Here is a 16,355-nt window from a genome sequence, read left to right as displayed (position 1 = left end):
AACACAAAAGGTATTTAAAAGAAAAAAAATCACAAGATTACCAGGCTTACCAACATTACATTTGTTCTTTCATGATAAAAAAAAAAAGCGGTAATAATATTAAATGATTACCACATCCAGAAAGTTTGTGAACTCTCTTCAAATCTCAGCATGGCAAAACTCAGATAGATAGATAGATAGATATTTATATTTATATTATATTATATATATATTTATGTTATATATTATATAATATATATTATTTATATAATATATAATATATATTATATATATTTTATATATATATATATGTGAGTTTTGCCATGCTGATATTTGAAGAGAGTTCACAAACTTTCTGGATGTGGTAATCATTTTATATATATATATATATATATTTTTTTTTTTTTTTTTTTTTTTTTTTTTTTGCTAAGGAGTCCGGCTTACAGGAAGTGCTCAATGTTTTATTTGGGGACCAGGACTTAACAGGGTGAATCTGGTATGTTTGGTCAACCTCAGGATGCAACCTAATTTTTCTTCCTGACTATGATATGCCATGAATGTGATGATTTTCCTTTCAGATGTATTGCTTATAAAATAAAGAAGTTAAGAACTTTGTAAGGAAAAAAGAAGAAAAGCCAAAGATATGAACAATTGTAAGACATATTTCAATGTGAGAAATATTAAAATGTAAATAACTAACAACTCAGCATCAATAAAATATTATTTACTGGCCGGGCACGGTGGCTCAAGCCTGTAATCCCAACACTTTGGGAGGCCGAGGTGGGCGGATCAGCCAAGGTCAGAAGTTCGAGAGCAGCCTGGCCAACATGGCAAAACCCCGTCTCTACTAAACACACACACACAAAAAAAAGCTGGCATGGTGGTGGGTGCCTGTAATTCCAGCTACTTGGGAGGCTGAGGCAGGAGAATCTCTTGAACCCGGGAGACAGAGGTTGCAGTGAGCCAAGATTGTGCCATTGCACTCCAGCCTGGGCATCAACAGCAAAACTCTGTCTCAAAAAAAAAAAAATTTACTTATCACAACTTATCCAATAACAACAGTGCATATCTCATAGTTTGCGGCTGATAGGCATCTGGCATTGTTATTATGGAATGAGTAATAATAACAAGGTTCATTCTATGTATGGGAGAAGTGAGGCTGAGGATCAATGCATACACACACACACCTCAAAAGAATTCTATGCTCTCTTTTCCTCTCAAATCCCTGCTCAGTCATGTGCACTGGCTTGAGCTGGCTTGCTGGAGGATGAGATGCCCAAGGAGGAGAGGCGAGTCATCTCGGACAAGGTTATTCTGGACCAGGCAGCCCACAGCTGACCACAGTTGAACACATGAAGTCAGCTGAGGCCAGAACTATCCAGTTTAACTTAGCCCCTGTGGCCACATTCATGAGCTAATAATGCTTGTTATTTTAAGTCACTAAGTTTTGGAGTGGTTTGTTACACAGCAAAACTGACTGATACGCTTTATATACACAACTGATAATTAGCAGAGCACTACTACTTCTATATAGGTTGCTAACTTATTGAAATGTTTCTGTGAAAGTAGGTAAATAGCTGCTGAGTGAAAGCCCCTGAAGCCCCCTCACTTAAAGAAAACACAAATGAGAGTACACATATATGCTGTCATCGATTGTTCTGTTTGTTTTCATTTAATTCTGTAATTCAGAACTCCTACCATATTCAAATATTCAACTCATTTCTCACCCAGTTGAATCCTGATACATTCAGCCAGTCTTCTAAGGATGGACTCTTGGGTGTTGTCAATTCTTCTAAGCAAAGCATCAGTGAACACTTTGATGAAAGGAGAATGCCTTCCTTAGATACCTATGTAACTGTCTTCTCTTTGCCAAGTGGGTCTCTGCTCAAATGTTACCTTCTTAGAGTGGCCCTCTCTGACCACTGAAGTTGAGGCGGCCTCCCCTTCACTCTCCATTTCATCCCATTCTCTGATCATGCCCAGAAATTAGGAGTGGTGGTTCCATATGGTAAAAGACTTTGGTTTGTTCATTGCTCGGTTCCCAGACCCTGCAACAGTGCCTGGCACAGAATAGGTGCTCAGATGTTTATTGAATGAACGACACCCCGTTCACCCCCAAAGCTTCTTGTTTCTTGGGGTTCCTACTTATCAGAGGGTGCAGAAGTTCTGAGTATTTATATATTAGGCATTCACTCTCTTATTTCCTTTTTTCCACTTTCTTTTTCCTTAAAACAGCTACTCACCCACCACTGAGAGAAAAAAATAGCTCAGGTTCCTTCCTGACCCAAATTTCTCCTCCTCCTTTCCACATGCATCTGCTCACACCAACGTCTGTGTGCTACATTGGATCAACAATGAAAAATGCCAACTTCACTCCTACCTCTTCCTTCCCTCCATTTCTTTCCACCTCTCAACCTCTCTGTAAAACAGGTGATAAGCTATAAATGAACATTTACCTCCCTGTAGGCATCTCTTACAAGAAATTTGGGCCAAAAAGATCCCCCTATGAATTTTCATGCTTTGAAAAAGATTTATTGGGCAAATGAGTACGTATCACGAAGGAAATGGAAAATCTACTGAGCCTCATGGGGTGGTGCTGGGGAGGAGGGAGTAGATGGATGGATATAATTCCTAATATTTCTTCCTGGTCTTGGTAGACAAATAAGCATCAGGAAAACTTGTTCTGATAATAGACATGGAGCTTGGTCATATTTAAACCTTACATCAACCTTAGGAGCTGATAATAAAAGTATTATTGGCTGGGTGTGGTGGCTAACACCTGTTACCCCAATGCTTTGGGAGGCTGAGGTGGGAGGATTGCTTGAGCCCAGGAGTTTGAGACCAGCCTCAGAAACATAGAGAGATCCCATCTCTACAAAAAACTCTAAAAAAAAATAGCCAGATGTGGTGGCACACACCTGTAGTCTCACCTACTGAGGAGGCTGAGGTGGGAGGATCACTTGAGCCCAGAAGGTTGAGGCTGCAGTGAGCCATGATCACGCCATTGCACTCCAGCCTTGGGATACAGCAAGACCCATTCTCAAAAAATAAAATGAAAGTATTATTATACTGATAATGATAACAACACATAACAAAACTTCCCATGTGTAAGTACTGTTCTTTTTTTTTTTTTTTTTTTTTTTTGAGACAGAGTCTCACTCTGCTGCTTAGGCTGGATTGCAGTGGCACAATATCGGCTCACTGCAACCTTTATCTTCTGGGTTCAAGTGATTCTCATGCCTCAGCCTCCTGAGCAGCAGGGACTACAGGTGTGCACCAGCACACCCAGCTAATTTTTGTATTTTTAGTAGAAACAGGGTTTCACCATGTTGCCCAGGCTGGTCTCAAGCTCCTGACCTCAAGTGATCTGCCCACCTTGGCCTCCCAAAGCGCTCGGATTGCAAGCGTTAGCCACCACATCTGGCTGTTAGCCACCACATTCAGCCATAAGCATGTTCTAAATGCATCATTGTGTTACTTCACTTCTTGACAACACTATAAGGCAGATACTATCGTTATCCCCACTCTACAGATGAGGAAACTGATGCACCAGAGAAACTAAGTCACCTTTCCAAAGTTCCTCAACAGAGAAGTGGCAAAACCAGAATCTGAATGCAGTAGTCCATCTCCTGGAAGTGGCAATATGATGTTGCTACTTATACCTCATTGGTTGGAACCTAGTCACATGGCCACACCTAGCAGCAAGGGAGACTGGGAAATGCAGCTAAAATGTAAGGGTTCTAGTACTATGGAAGAAGGAGAGACCAGATGTTGGGGAACAATAAGCAGTCTCTACACACCCACCCTGGACCCTTGAAGATCTAAAAAATCAGAAGTTTGCAGTTATTCCTCAGGATGGGTCAGGGAGTAACTGAGATAAGTGTTCTTATACATTGGTGGTGGGAGTACCAATAAAGACATTGCTCTGGGAAGGTCTATCAGTTAGTTATTGCTGTATAACCAACCATGGCAACATTTAGAAGCTTAAAACAGAAACAACCATTATTTATTATAGTTCATGAAGTTATGAACCAGCTAGACAGTTCTGCTGATCTGAATTTGGCTGATCTTGGCTGGACTTGCTCCTGTATCTGTCCACAGCTTGGACTGTGGGCTGGGGGTTGTGCTGGCTGGCCTAGAATACCTTTGACCAGGATGACTTCCCCCATGGGCCTGTCAACCTCCAGCAAGCTAGCTCAAGCCAGTGCACATGGCTGAGCAGGGACCTGAGAGTAAGAGAGAGCACAGAGGCCTCTTGGGGTTTAGCCCCGAAGGGACACACCATCATTTGTTGGCAGGGTTGGTTTCCCGGAGGCCTCCCTCCTTGGCTTGTGGATGGTCGACCCTCTGTACATGTCTGAGTCCTAATCTCCTTGTAATTACACCAGCAGATTGGATTAGGGCTGGCTCTTGTGACCTCATTTGACCTTGACCACCTGGTTAAAGGCCCCATCTCCCAATACAGTCACTGTATTGGGAAGTACTGGGGTTAGGACATCAATTTGGTGGGGGGCACAATTCAGCCTGCAACGCTCACCAGCCCAGACCCCTTCGGAGCTGTGCTTTCCTATTGGAGACCCAAGATTTATACAGTGGAGTCGGATGCTGTGTTGGATCATAAATCCTGTTGGCTTAACTTTCTTTTTATTATTATTATTTTATTTTTCCATAAGTTATTGGGGTACAGGTGGAATTTGGTTACACGAATAAGTTCTTTAGTGGTGATTTGTGAGATTCTGGTGCACCCATCACACTGCACCATGTATGTTGTCTTTTATCTAAACCTCGCCTCCCCATCCCACGCTTCCCCCCGAGTCCCCAAAGTCCATTGTATCACGGATTTACCTTCAAAACCTACCCAGAATCCATCACGTTCTCGCCACCCCTGCCTGGTCCCAGCCATGCTCACCCCTCACTGGGACAATTGCAGGGGTCTCCCCGCTTCACCCCTGCTCCATTCTCCCTGCCCCCAGCCTGTTCTCCACACAGAAGCCCATCATGTCCCTCCTCTGCCCATAACCCTCCATGACTCCTACCTCACCCATCAAGCTGCAGTCTTCACCCCGCCGGCCAGCGCCCCTCCTGATCCAGCCCCCATCTGTTCTCTGTCCTCTTGTCACTCTGCCTCAGGCGTGGGCAAAACCCCAGGCCTCTGCCCTGGCTGTTCCTTCTTCCTGAAACACTTTCCCCCACATCCTCACCCGCCTTGTCCTGCCTCTGAGTTTCTGCTTTCCTGTCTCCTCCTCAGCGGGTCTCCCCACTCCACCTTCTTAAATCTGGAACCTGCCCCGACCCTCTGCATAGTACCCTCCTCTTTCTGAGATTTTTTTCTCCACGGCTTTAAAAAAAATTGTCACTTCCCAGAAGAACATCAACCCCACAAGGGCAGGGGTTTTGTAAGTCTTGTTCATAGCTGTTTCTCCAGCCCTTAGAACTTCATCTGGTTCAAATAGGCACAGTCTGTATGTCTTTCAATATAATTTATTCCAACACAGTCTGTATGTCTTTGAATATAATTTGGCCATGGAGGGTTATGGTCAGAGGAGGGACGTGAAGGGCTTCTGCGTGGCAAACAGGCTCGGGGCAGGGAGGATGGAGCAAGAGTGAGGCGGGGAGACCTCTGCAATCATCCCAGCAAGGGGTGAGCATCGCTGGGACCAGGCAGGGGTGGCAATTTATTCTGTTACTGTCATGGCTCAGAAATGCCCCCCCAAACACTGGGAATTTAACCTTTTATACCTGTACCTGATGTCTACATGTGCTGGTACCACCCTGGGCTTTGGGTAGCAGGGGGGTCAGCCTCCGCTCAAACTCTTGTTTTCTTTTTGGGCTGCTGTAACAATATCACAGACTGGGTGGCTTATACACAACAGACATTCATTGCTCACAGTTCTGGAGCCTGGTAAGGCTGAGGTCAAGGTGCCAGCAGAGTCAGTGTGTGGTGAAGGCCCATTCCCAGTTCATAGAGGGAGCCCTCTTGCTGTGCCCACACATGGAGGAAGGAGTGAGGGAGCTCTCTGGGGTCCCTTTCATAAGGGCACTAATCCTATGGATGAGGCCCCACCCTCATGACCTCATCACCTCCCAAAGGCCCTATCTCTTAATACCATCACCTTAGGGGTTAGGGTTTCAACATGTAAATTTTGGGGAGACACACAAATTCAGACCATTGCACCTTTCTTCCAGGGTGTGGAGTTGGTCCTGGGGATTGGCTGACCCCCTACCAGAGACTGCACTTCCCATGACCCTTTGTGTGCAGGAGGGTGCAAGGAACACTGCTCACCAGTGGAAGGAGAGGAGAGCTATGTGTCCAGAAATGGCTTTGCCCTCCCCTGTCTGCTGCCTAGATGTCTACTTGAGAAATTACGGTGGAGGGAGCTTGGATCCCTGAGTCACCCCATGGAGTAGATCCTCCTGCTGAGGGAGAGCAGCAGAATCAGACTTGATGCATGAGGAATACTTTCCAGTGTGGGATATCTCCTGGTCTCTGGGGCTTGTTGATGCATCCAGTCCATGCCAACCAGCACAAGATCTGCAACCTCACCTGGAGCCTAACCCCTGTGCATAAGATGCTAGGACCATCCCCAGGTACCAAGTGAGCTCAGCAAGCACCAGCTTGTAAGTGATGGAACTAGCAGCTGGGCCCAGGATTCCCTGACCCCAGACCCCACCTGATCACTTGGTGGCCCTACACAGGCTGCAAGCCAGGAGTCAAATCTCCTTCTTCCCCAGGGGTATTTTGTGTGGCCTGTCCAGTCCAGGCCCAAAGAGCATATATTTTTTGTTTGTTTTGAGACAGCCTTTCACTCTCCTGCCCCGACTGGAGTGCAGTGGTACAATCATGGCTCACTGCAGCCTCCAACTTCTGGCCTCAAGTAATCCTCCCACCTTGGCCTCCAGAGTGGCTGGGAGGACAGGCACACATCACCACGCCTGACCCAAAATAGCGTTTCTTAACAAATATGTAAATTTTTGCCATTTAGAAATCAGAAACATTGCATATAAAGTCTGGCTTTTCAGCTCCATCATCTCGAACTAATTATTAGTGTTCTGAGCCTGTTTCCTCAATTGAAAGTGAGAATAGTATTACCCTATATTAATGATGTAAGCCCTGTTAATGTATGTAGCTCTTTTATATAAATATTTAAGACTCTATTACAAATATAAACTTTCTATTAATAAATAATAGTATGTATAATAAAATATTATTAGGGCTGTAAGGTGTGTGTTGGATAGTGCACCTGCTTGACTCAAATCACTCATGTTCATGGCCCTACGCCTGGCCTGTCAGGGGTCATAGAAAAGTCTGTGATCTTGGAGAGGATCCCTAGCTCATCTCATGTAATTTGGAAACTGCCACCACACTGGGATTCTGCAGGAAGACCTTCCTCCTCTCCCCCATATCTGAGGCTGTGAGCTGAGGCCCAGCCTCTCAGTTGGACCATTCTCAGCCCAGGAATCTGCGGCTGCCAGGGGCATCAGTCCACCCAGGAGGCCCCTTCATCATGCTCTGGGGCAGGCGCACTGGGTTCCCGGGTACTGACTGGGATTCCTACAATAAGATGGTGTCCAGGCAGGGAGGAGCAGAAGGGCCTTCCCTCTGCAGCCTGGGTCTCCTGAGGCTGCCCCTCAGCCAAGATCTGGGCCCAGAGCCTTCTCCGGCTGCCCATGCTAAGGCCAAATGCAGGGGATTATCTCTGGCTAGAGCAAAGATTGTATGAACAATGCCTTTTATTTTCTGATGCTTTGACATTTTGAAGCCTTGCCGACCTTGGAGGGACTGTCACTCCCAGATCCAGGTGATTCCTAGAGACGGCAAAGAATCCCCTTGAGAGCGTGCCTTTCACAAGCAAACCACCCAATCCAGAGCCCACACCCAGCACCTCCCCAACTGGGCTCCCACACTCAGGGGCTCTGTGCACCTGCCCTCATCCAGGGCTGAGAACCAGACAACAAGGGCAGCCCCTGTGCCCCAGAACCGCTAAATTACTCAGAGAAGCCAATCCTGCTCCTTGCTGTGGAAGCGACAGAGAAGCTCCTGCCCCCGTCTTCCCCCAGCCCCTCCACCTCCTGACCTGCCCTGGGCTTCCCTGTGTGGCCTGGCACTGCCCTCGCCTCTCAGGAACTGTAGCAACTCTCTTTTCAATCCCTGGTGTCTCCTGACCTATGGGCCTCACCTTCTCAGAATAAGAATAAAACCTACATTTTAAATCAGACAGGGGCAGTGGACAAAAGGCTGAGGAATCCAAGTCAGATCCAGGTCTCCAGGGACTATGTTAGGTCCAGGGTGGAATGGGCTGCTGCCTCAGAAAACTCACTTGCTTATTCGTGATTCAGCCGGGAAGCATTTATTGAGCACCTACCATTAACTCTTTCATTCAACGGACATTTACTGAGCACCTACTATCTGCCTGTGCCTGTGCCGTGCCAAGTGCTGGGGAAAACAACAGTGAGCAGAACCAGCAACATCCAGATCTCTACCTGAATGCCCGTGATGGAGATGGATGGTAAAGAAAGAAAACAAGTATCAATACAGACTGCAGTGCGTGTGATGGGGAATACGAAGCAGGGGAAGAAGGGCGATCAGGGAGGGCCTTGTTATCAGTTAGGGTTCTCCAGAGAGGCAGTAGTGATACAACTTAATATAGTTATATATGTCCTATCATATAGATTGCCTTATTTAGATCATATATATCCCATATAGATATATCATATATATGCTATTATATATATTATGCATTTATTATATATACATTATATATCTCATATAGATTTTTTTTTTTTGAGACAGAGTCTCATACCATCGGCCAGGCTGGAGTGCAGTGGCATGATCTCAGCTCACTGCAACCTCCGTCTCCTGGGTTCAAGTGATTCTCCTGTCTCAGTCTCCCAAGCAGCTGAGATTACAGACACATGCCACCATGCCCGGCTAATTTTGTATTTTTAGTAGAGATGGGGTTTCACCATGTTGGCCACGCTGGTCTCAAACTCCTGACCTCAGGTGATCTGCCTGCCTCGGCCTACCAAAGTGCTGGAATTACAGGCATGAGCCACCTTGACTGACTGACCTTTTTTTTTTTTTAAGAGAGAGTCTTCCCTTGTCACCCAGGCTGGAGTGCAATGGCATGATCATACCTCACTGCAACCTCTAATTCCTGGACTCGGGCAATCCTCCCACCTCCGTCTCTTGAGTAGCTGGGACCACAGGCACACGCCACCACACCTGGCTAATTTTTCTAACGTTTTGTAAAGATGAGGTCTTGCTATGTTGCCTAGGCTGGTCTCAAACTCCTGGTCTCAAGTAATCCTCCCACCTTGGCCTCCCAAAGTGCTGGGATTACAGGTGTGGGTCACCATGCCCTACCCTATATATATCTTATACATATCCTTTTATATACCTCATATTTCTTGTTATACATATGGCATATGTATACTTTTATATATAAATAGATTTAATTTAAATAACCGGGTCATGCTACTGTGGGAGCTGGCAAGTCCCAAATCCATAAGGTAGGCTGGTAGGCTGGAAACTCAGGCCGGAGTTGGCACTGTAATCCTGAGGCAGAGTTTTTTACTCTCCAAGAAACTGGTTTTGCTCTTAAGGCCTTCAACTGATTAGATGAGGCCCACACACATTGCAGATAATAATCGTTTACTTAAAGTCAGCTGACATGGGTGACATCCACATCTATAAAGTGTCTTCTCAGCACCACCGGGACTCACTGCGATGGGCCTGCTGGGCACTGGAGCCCAGCCAGGCCGACACGTGAAACTGAGCATCAGGGACCTGAGGAAGCTCAGCGTGGGTGCTGGGCCAGGAAGGGAGAGGCCCCTGCGGTGGGAGTGGGCTGGGCCAGCGCTGGGACTGAACGAAAGCACAGTGTGGCTGAAGCAGAGTGAGCAGGGGGAGCGGGACGGGAGCTGGGAGAGGCTGCGTCACACAGGGGTTTGTGAGGAGTTTGGCATTTACTCCAAGTGATAAAGGGGTCATTCAGACCCCACCCAGCACCCATGACCTCTACCTCAAGGCCAGGCTTGGGTCAGGCCTGGGGACACAGGGACACAGGGACACAGGGCCCAGTGAGGGTGAACTCGAAGGCCAGCACATAACCCCAAATAGTGCCTTGGACAGATGTATGGGATAGAAGACTTGTTAAAAAGCAGGTTCCTGACCTGCTTGATCCCTGCCAAACCCACATTTTCAGGGGGGTAAATTTAATTTGGCTTCAGTAAGTACCTGACTGAGGAACTGGTGGGTGGAGTGGTGCCGTGGACTGCAGTCCAGCTTCTGGAGTCAGAATGGGTTTGAATCCAGCAGCTGTGTGACCTTGGGCAGGTGCCTGAACCTCTGCGAGCCTGTTTCCCCATCTGTAGAGTGGGGGTGATGAGAGCGCCCCCTCAGAGTTGGACAAGTGACTCCGTCAATGTGGCCATTATTCCAGCCACCTCAGGGTTCCTCTTGGGGAAACGTGGAGCCCTGAGTGGGGAGCTTGCCCAGGAGGCGGGAGACCAGGGATGTGAGACCCACCTGGTACCACAGCATCCCCCCAGAGGAGCCTCAATGCCCTCCACATCAGCTTGGGTTGCAGAGAAAAGAAACAGGAGGGACCTGAGAGGTGGCCCGGCTGGTTCTCTGGATGGGAGAGGGGGATGGTGGTGGTGCAGCCTCGATCCCATCTCTGCTTCACACACTGGGGAGTCCAGGAAACCAAGGCCAGGAGTCAAGTCCTGAGAAATTCAATATGTCCATCTCTAGAAGTAGTCCAGTGTAGGCAAGGAGCACGGACCTCGGAGCCCAGGTGGACCCCAGCTCACACCCTGTCCCCTCCACTTCCATGTTGTGTGCCCTCAGGAAGCTTACCTTGCCTCACTGAACCTCAGATTCCTTATCTATACGACATGCACATGAATCCCTACCTCGAGGATCTTGTGAGGGTTAAATGAGCCATTTCATCTCTCCAAAGGGCCTTAGAAGGTCTTCCCCTCCATTTTGCTGCTAAAGAGTAGTAAAATCTTGTGTACATATTAGCTAACATTTGTTGACTGTTTTAACACTCCATTCTCTGCAGTGCATACATATTCTCATTTATTCCCACAACAGATGCAACTAAAGCAATGTCTGATCAAGACTCGCTGCTGGAAACCACCACAATCCCACGTGGGAAGCCAGCCTGAGGATGATGTTAAGAAGTATGAAGGGAGAGCCAGAGCATCACAGAGAACCACAGCTATGGCTCCAATGATGAGAGCCTGAATCAAACCCACCCTGAGGCCCACTTGACTGCCAGAATTTGAAAAACGGTCCACCTTGTTTATACGTGCCCGAGTGGCTGTTTTTCTTATTTGCAGAATGTGCTTGCTGATATAATTTTTTTTCTGTATTATTTATTTGTGTACACCAGTGTCAGGGAGTGTGGAACAACTGGAAATGCCAGAACATTAGCAACCAGTAGTATCAAATAACAAAATTAAAAGTATGGCCTAAAAGGCCCCAGAGAAAGTGCACTTTGGGGAACACTCTTATGTGTAAACAGAGCTTCAGTCGGCCTTAGGAAACTCACTCGAAGTTACTGATATGGTCTGTTGGTGCTTCCCTGTATTCACATATTGGAAACTTGATCCCCAATGTAACAGTATGAAGAGGGAGGACCTTTGGGAGGTCATGAGGTCAGGGCCCTTGTGACTGGGATTAGCACCCTTATAAGGGGCCTGAGGAAGTCTGCCGTTTACAACCACGTGAAGACACACATCAAGACACAAGCACTACCTATGAAGAACATACCCCATCAGACACCAAATCTGCCAGAGCCTTGATCTTGGACTTCCCAGCATCCAGAACCATGAGTGACAAATTTCTATTGTTTATAAATTACCCAGTCTAAGGTCTTTTGTTACAGCAGCAGGAAGGGACTTAAGACAGTTGCCTTCACATTTAGCTGCAAAAATCACTATAAAAATAATCTGTGCTCAGATGTATATACTTATTGAATCCATGCATATTTCTTTCTGAATATCAAACCTGCTGCTGTTTCTTTTCCTTCTTGCCCCTCCCACAATCACTGAAGCCGATTTTGACCAGACAACTGGCCAAAACAGAAGACTGTTTAAAATAACATAGTCTCCCTTAATTAAAAGTTTTATTTTTAAAAAACGTAACAGACCACTCTAAGAAACTTTGGCATTCAAAGCAGTAGTTACTGTTATTTGCTAACTCTGAAAAAAAAATTTTTCCCCTCACAAACAACCGGCAAACTCCTGCCACTTCCTAGCTTGGTGGCTGCCAGCGTGCACTGCAGGGAAACGGTGGGTGGAGGGATAGGAAGGCCCTCACGCTCCCAACCCACGGAGAAAATGCAGATGGTGACAAGCTGCATCTGGACTCCAGGATGTATCTGACAAAGAGGGAGATGTCTCCTCCCTCCCCTCCACCAGCTCCACTTTCCCGCTGAAGAAACAGAGATGTGGAGGCAGGCGTGACCTGTCCCAGCTCTAGGACAGTTACTCAAGAGGGCTAGTCTGGAACCCTGATGTCTGTTACCAGCGGCCATGGCTCAGCTACAGTGAACCTTGAAGTGTCCCCAGATACGTCAGACACCGAGGGGCTTGCTTTCTGAGGCTCAGTAAGGAGGGGGCATGTGTGATCAGCCAGCCCCTCCACAACCCCACATTCCTGAGCTCCCCTGACCCCGAGTCCCCACCCCAGGGGAGAACTTCTCACAGCACTGCTGACAAAGCGCGCAGCCATCTGGCGTCCGTCCTGGGCACCGCCAGTGAGAGCCCTGCACAGAGGCGCTCAGGTGTGAATCCGCAGGTGGCGCGTCAGGTTCGTGTTGCGGCTGAAGGTCTTCCCGCACTCGCCGCATCGGTAGGGCTTCTCGCCCGTGTGGATCCGCTGGTGCACAGTGAGGGAGGAGTTCTTGATGAAGGACTTCCCGCACTGGCCGCACCTGTACGGCTTCTCGCCGGTGTGGATCCGCTGGTGCTCGATGAGGTAGGCGCTCTGGCTGAAGGCCTTGCCGCACTCGCCGCACACGTAGGGCTTCTCCCCGGTGTGCACGATCTGGTGCACGATGAGGGACGAGCGCCCCGTGAAGTGCTTCTTGCAGATGTAGCACTCGTAGGGCTTCTCGCCGGTGTGGATGCGCTGGTGCTGCGTGAGCGAGGAGTTCTTGCTGAAGGCCTTGCCGCACTCGCTGCACTCGAACGGCTTCACGCCGATGTGGAAGCGCTGGTGCTGGATGAGGTAGGAGCTCTGGCTGAAGGCCTTGCCGCACTCGCCGCACACGTAGGGCTTCTCGCCGGTGTGGTTCCTCTGGTGCAGGGTGAGCGAGGAGCTCTTGTTGAAGGCCTTGCCGCACTCCTTGCAGGCGTACGGCTTCTCCCCGGTGTGCGTGCGCTGGTGCTCGGTCAGGTGCATGTTCTGGCTGAAGGCTCGCCCGCACTCGGGGCACACGTACGGCTTCTCCCCGGTGTGCGTGCGCTGGTGCACGATGAGGTGCATGTTCTGGCTGAAGGCCTTGCCGCAGTCCCCGCACGCGTAGGGCTTCTCCCCCGTGTGGATCCGCTCGTGCTGGGTGAGAGAGGAAGTCTTCCGGAAGGCCTTGCCACACACGTCGCACACATACGGCTTCTCGCCCGTGTGCGTGCGCTGGTGCACAGTGAGGTTCATGCGCTGGCTGAAGGCCTTGCCGCAGTCCCCGCAGGCATAGGGCTTCTCGCCCGTGTGCACCCGCTGGTGGATGGTGAGGGACGAGCGCTCGATGAAGTGCTTCCCACAGGTGTCACACTCAAACGGCTTTTCTCCCGTGTGGATCCTTTGGTGCTTTATCAGGGACGAGCTTCGGCTAAAGGCCTTGCCACACTCGCTGCAGTCGTAGGTTTTCTTCTCCTCGCAGGGCATGGGGGGCTTACTGAGGTCTGAAGTGCTGGAGAAGTTCTTGCCACGCCTTACGGGTGGACAGGCCCCCTTTTCTGTGGGGTCGTCCAGCCGTGGTGGGACCAGGACACAGCCTTGGTTGGCAAATGCCTTCAGTTCATGACATGCGGGTACTGAGCCCCCTAAGAGTTTGTTCCCCTGGGGAATTCCCAATGGCTCCCACTCTGCACCTGCATCTCCCCGCGGCCTCTCTGGCCAGCTGCCTGGTTCCCACACTCCTTCTGAGCCAGGACCCCTGGCACCATTCCTCGTGGGTCCCCCCGTGGCCTCCCCAACAACGGAGAGCTTGTCTTCCGAAATGTCATTCTTTGGATCCAACTCTTTCATTTCAGGTCTAGTCTCCCAGTCTGAAAAAAACAAAAACAGAAGATGCAAATACATGTAGTTAAAGATGCTGGGAGTGAGGAAGCTCCACAGCAGGAAGGAGCAAATGAAACCGACCCCAATGAGGCCCAAGGCACAGAGCGAGTTAGCAAAGAAGAACCTTGGATCAGAGAGGGAGGGAGGAGGGAGGCATGGAACTGAGGCCAATGTGGTTTATGAAGCAGAGTCAACACAGGAGGTGAACAGGGAGAGCAAATGTCCCTTCAGAAGAGGGATGACAGGCACTCCTGGAGAGAAACTGCAGTAGTGAGCTGGGCTTGCAGGGAGCAAAGGGCAGGCTCTGCAAACCTGAGTAGGAATGACTGCAGCCGGCTACTGACTTGCAGGGCCTCCTCACTTCATCCTGCAGATCCACAACCAGTCGTGCTCCTCAAGCAACAGTTTTTATCAGAAATAATAAGATGGCCAGGCACAGTGGCTCATGCCTGTAATCCCAACACTTTGGGAGGCTGAGGCAAGGATTGCTTGAGACCAGCCTGGGCAACATAGTGAGACCCCCCACCCCCGCCTCTACTAAATTTTTTTTTAAAAATTAGCCAGGCATGGTGGCACATGCCTATTGTCCCAGCTACTTGAGAGGCTGAGGTGGGAGGATCACTTGAGCCCAGGAATTCGAGGTTGCAGTGAGCTATGATCACGTCACTGCACTCCAGCATGGGTGACAGGGTGAGACCCTGTCTCTTAAAAAATAAATAAATAAATAAATATTGAAAAAAGAAGAAAAAGAATAAAGAAATAATAAATAGCTAGCATTTATATGGCATGTGTTGGTTATTCTCTACTCCTTCGACCCACTTTCTATTCTCCACCCTTCTCTGACCTGCCCTGTGCTCAGGATGCTGACTTTGCCCACTGGCTTCCTGTGTGTTTGGCCAAAGGCAGGAAACTGGAAGTGAAATGAGAGAAAAATCGGGCATTTCTCCTGCCCCTTTGCCACTTCTCTGGTATGGCTGCCCCAGGGTTGCTGGCTGCAAGATCCTCTCCCCTGGCTGGGGCTCCGGCTCCCGCTAGCTCATCACGCACCTGCCCTGGCTGGCCCCAGCCCTCCCGCACCCCAGCCCTCTCATCAGCCTCAGCACTAAGTGTTCATACACACAGGACCGCTCACTTGAGCCCACAATAATCACATGACTTGGGGTCTCACAATTGCTTCTGTTGCTACGTCACACGCTGCCTAGTTCTTGGGTGGCAGGCATTCCGTGGAGCTTGGGTTCAGACCCTCTTTCTCTGCTCATCCACCCTCCCTGGCTAAATACCTCTGTGCCCACAGCTTCAATCACCTTCCACGTGTATCCTGTTCATTTCTAAACCTCGATTTCTAGCCTAGGTGGAGTCTAGACTCTGCATCAGGGGACTCATTCCCAGCATTTAAAAGTTGCTGTCCATGTGGCTGCTAGCTCATAAAAAACATGAAGATATGGCCACGTGGAGCCTCATTCTTATGGGCAACAAGACATTGCATGGGGCAGCAGCTGTCCCCCTCCTCCACATAAATGATCCACCTGGTAGTTCCTGAGGCCACCTGAGTTTGAGACCACTCTCCTGAATCACACTGGACCTTCAAAGCCACACAAAGTGAGTCTGGATCTAAACGTTATCCACAGGCTGATGCTGCTCAAACATACACCTTCAGCCCAGACCTGCTTTCTGGGCTATGTCCAAACTGTTCAAAAAAGCCCAGCATCTCAACTGGATAGCCCAAGCCTAACACATCCGATACGAAACTTGGGATTTCAGACTTTCCCCATGAAAAACATTTTTTAAAAAAGCAAAGCCCATCAAAGAGACTTAGTAAAATAAATCAGACATGAAAGGATGGATGCCATGTGATTCCACTCATCTGCGGTACCTGGAGGTCGGATTCCCAGAGACAGACGGTAGAACAGAGGATGCCGGGGGCTGAGGAGTGGGTGGGAGTTGGTGTTTAATGGGGATAGGGTTTCATTTGCGGGAGATGAAAAGAGCTGTGGGGATGGATGGCGGTGATGGCTGCACAACAACATCAATGTCCTTAAGGCCACTGAACTGTACTCCTATAAGTGGTTAAAATGGTACA

At 48.8% G+C, this 16,355-nt stretch overlaps 1 protein-coding gene and 1 long non-coding RNA gene across 5 annotated transcripts in view; both read right to left on the bottom strand.

Moving 5' to 3' along the window:
* ZNF71-SMIM17 (ZNF71-SMIM17 readthrough (NMD candidate)) overlaps window positions 1-16,355 on the bottom strand; it is a 61,946-nt gene that overhangs the window by 21,718 nt on the left and 23,873 nt on the right. The gene's annotated exons all lie outside the window — the stretch shown is intronic.
* ZNF71 (zinc finger protein 71) overlaps window positions 11,044-16,355 on the bottom strand; it is a 29,185-nt gene continuing 23,873 nt past the window's right edge. For all 3 annotated transcript variants that reach the window (NM_001370215.1, NM_021216.5, NM_001370214.1), the window contains one exon: window positions 11,044-14,262. In NM_001370215.1, the coding sequence (NP_001357144.1) occupies window positions 12,773-14,262 (1,490 nt within the window). In that variant the 3' untranslated portion in view covers window positions 11,044-12,772. The remainder of the gene's footprint in view (window positions 14,263-16,355) is intronic.

Source organism: Homo sapiens, chromosome 19 (assembly GCF_000001405.40).
Source record: "Homo sapiens chromosome 19, GRCh38.p14 Primary Assembly".
Lineage (NCBI taxonomy): Eukaryota > Metazoa > Chordata > Mammalia > Primates > Hominidae > Homo > Homo sapiens.
Note: the sequence above shows the minus strand (reverse complement) of the source record. Positions and strands in the feature narration are given on the sequence as shown.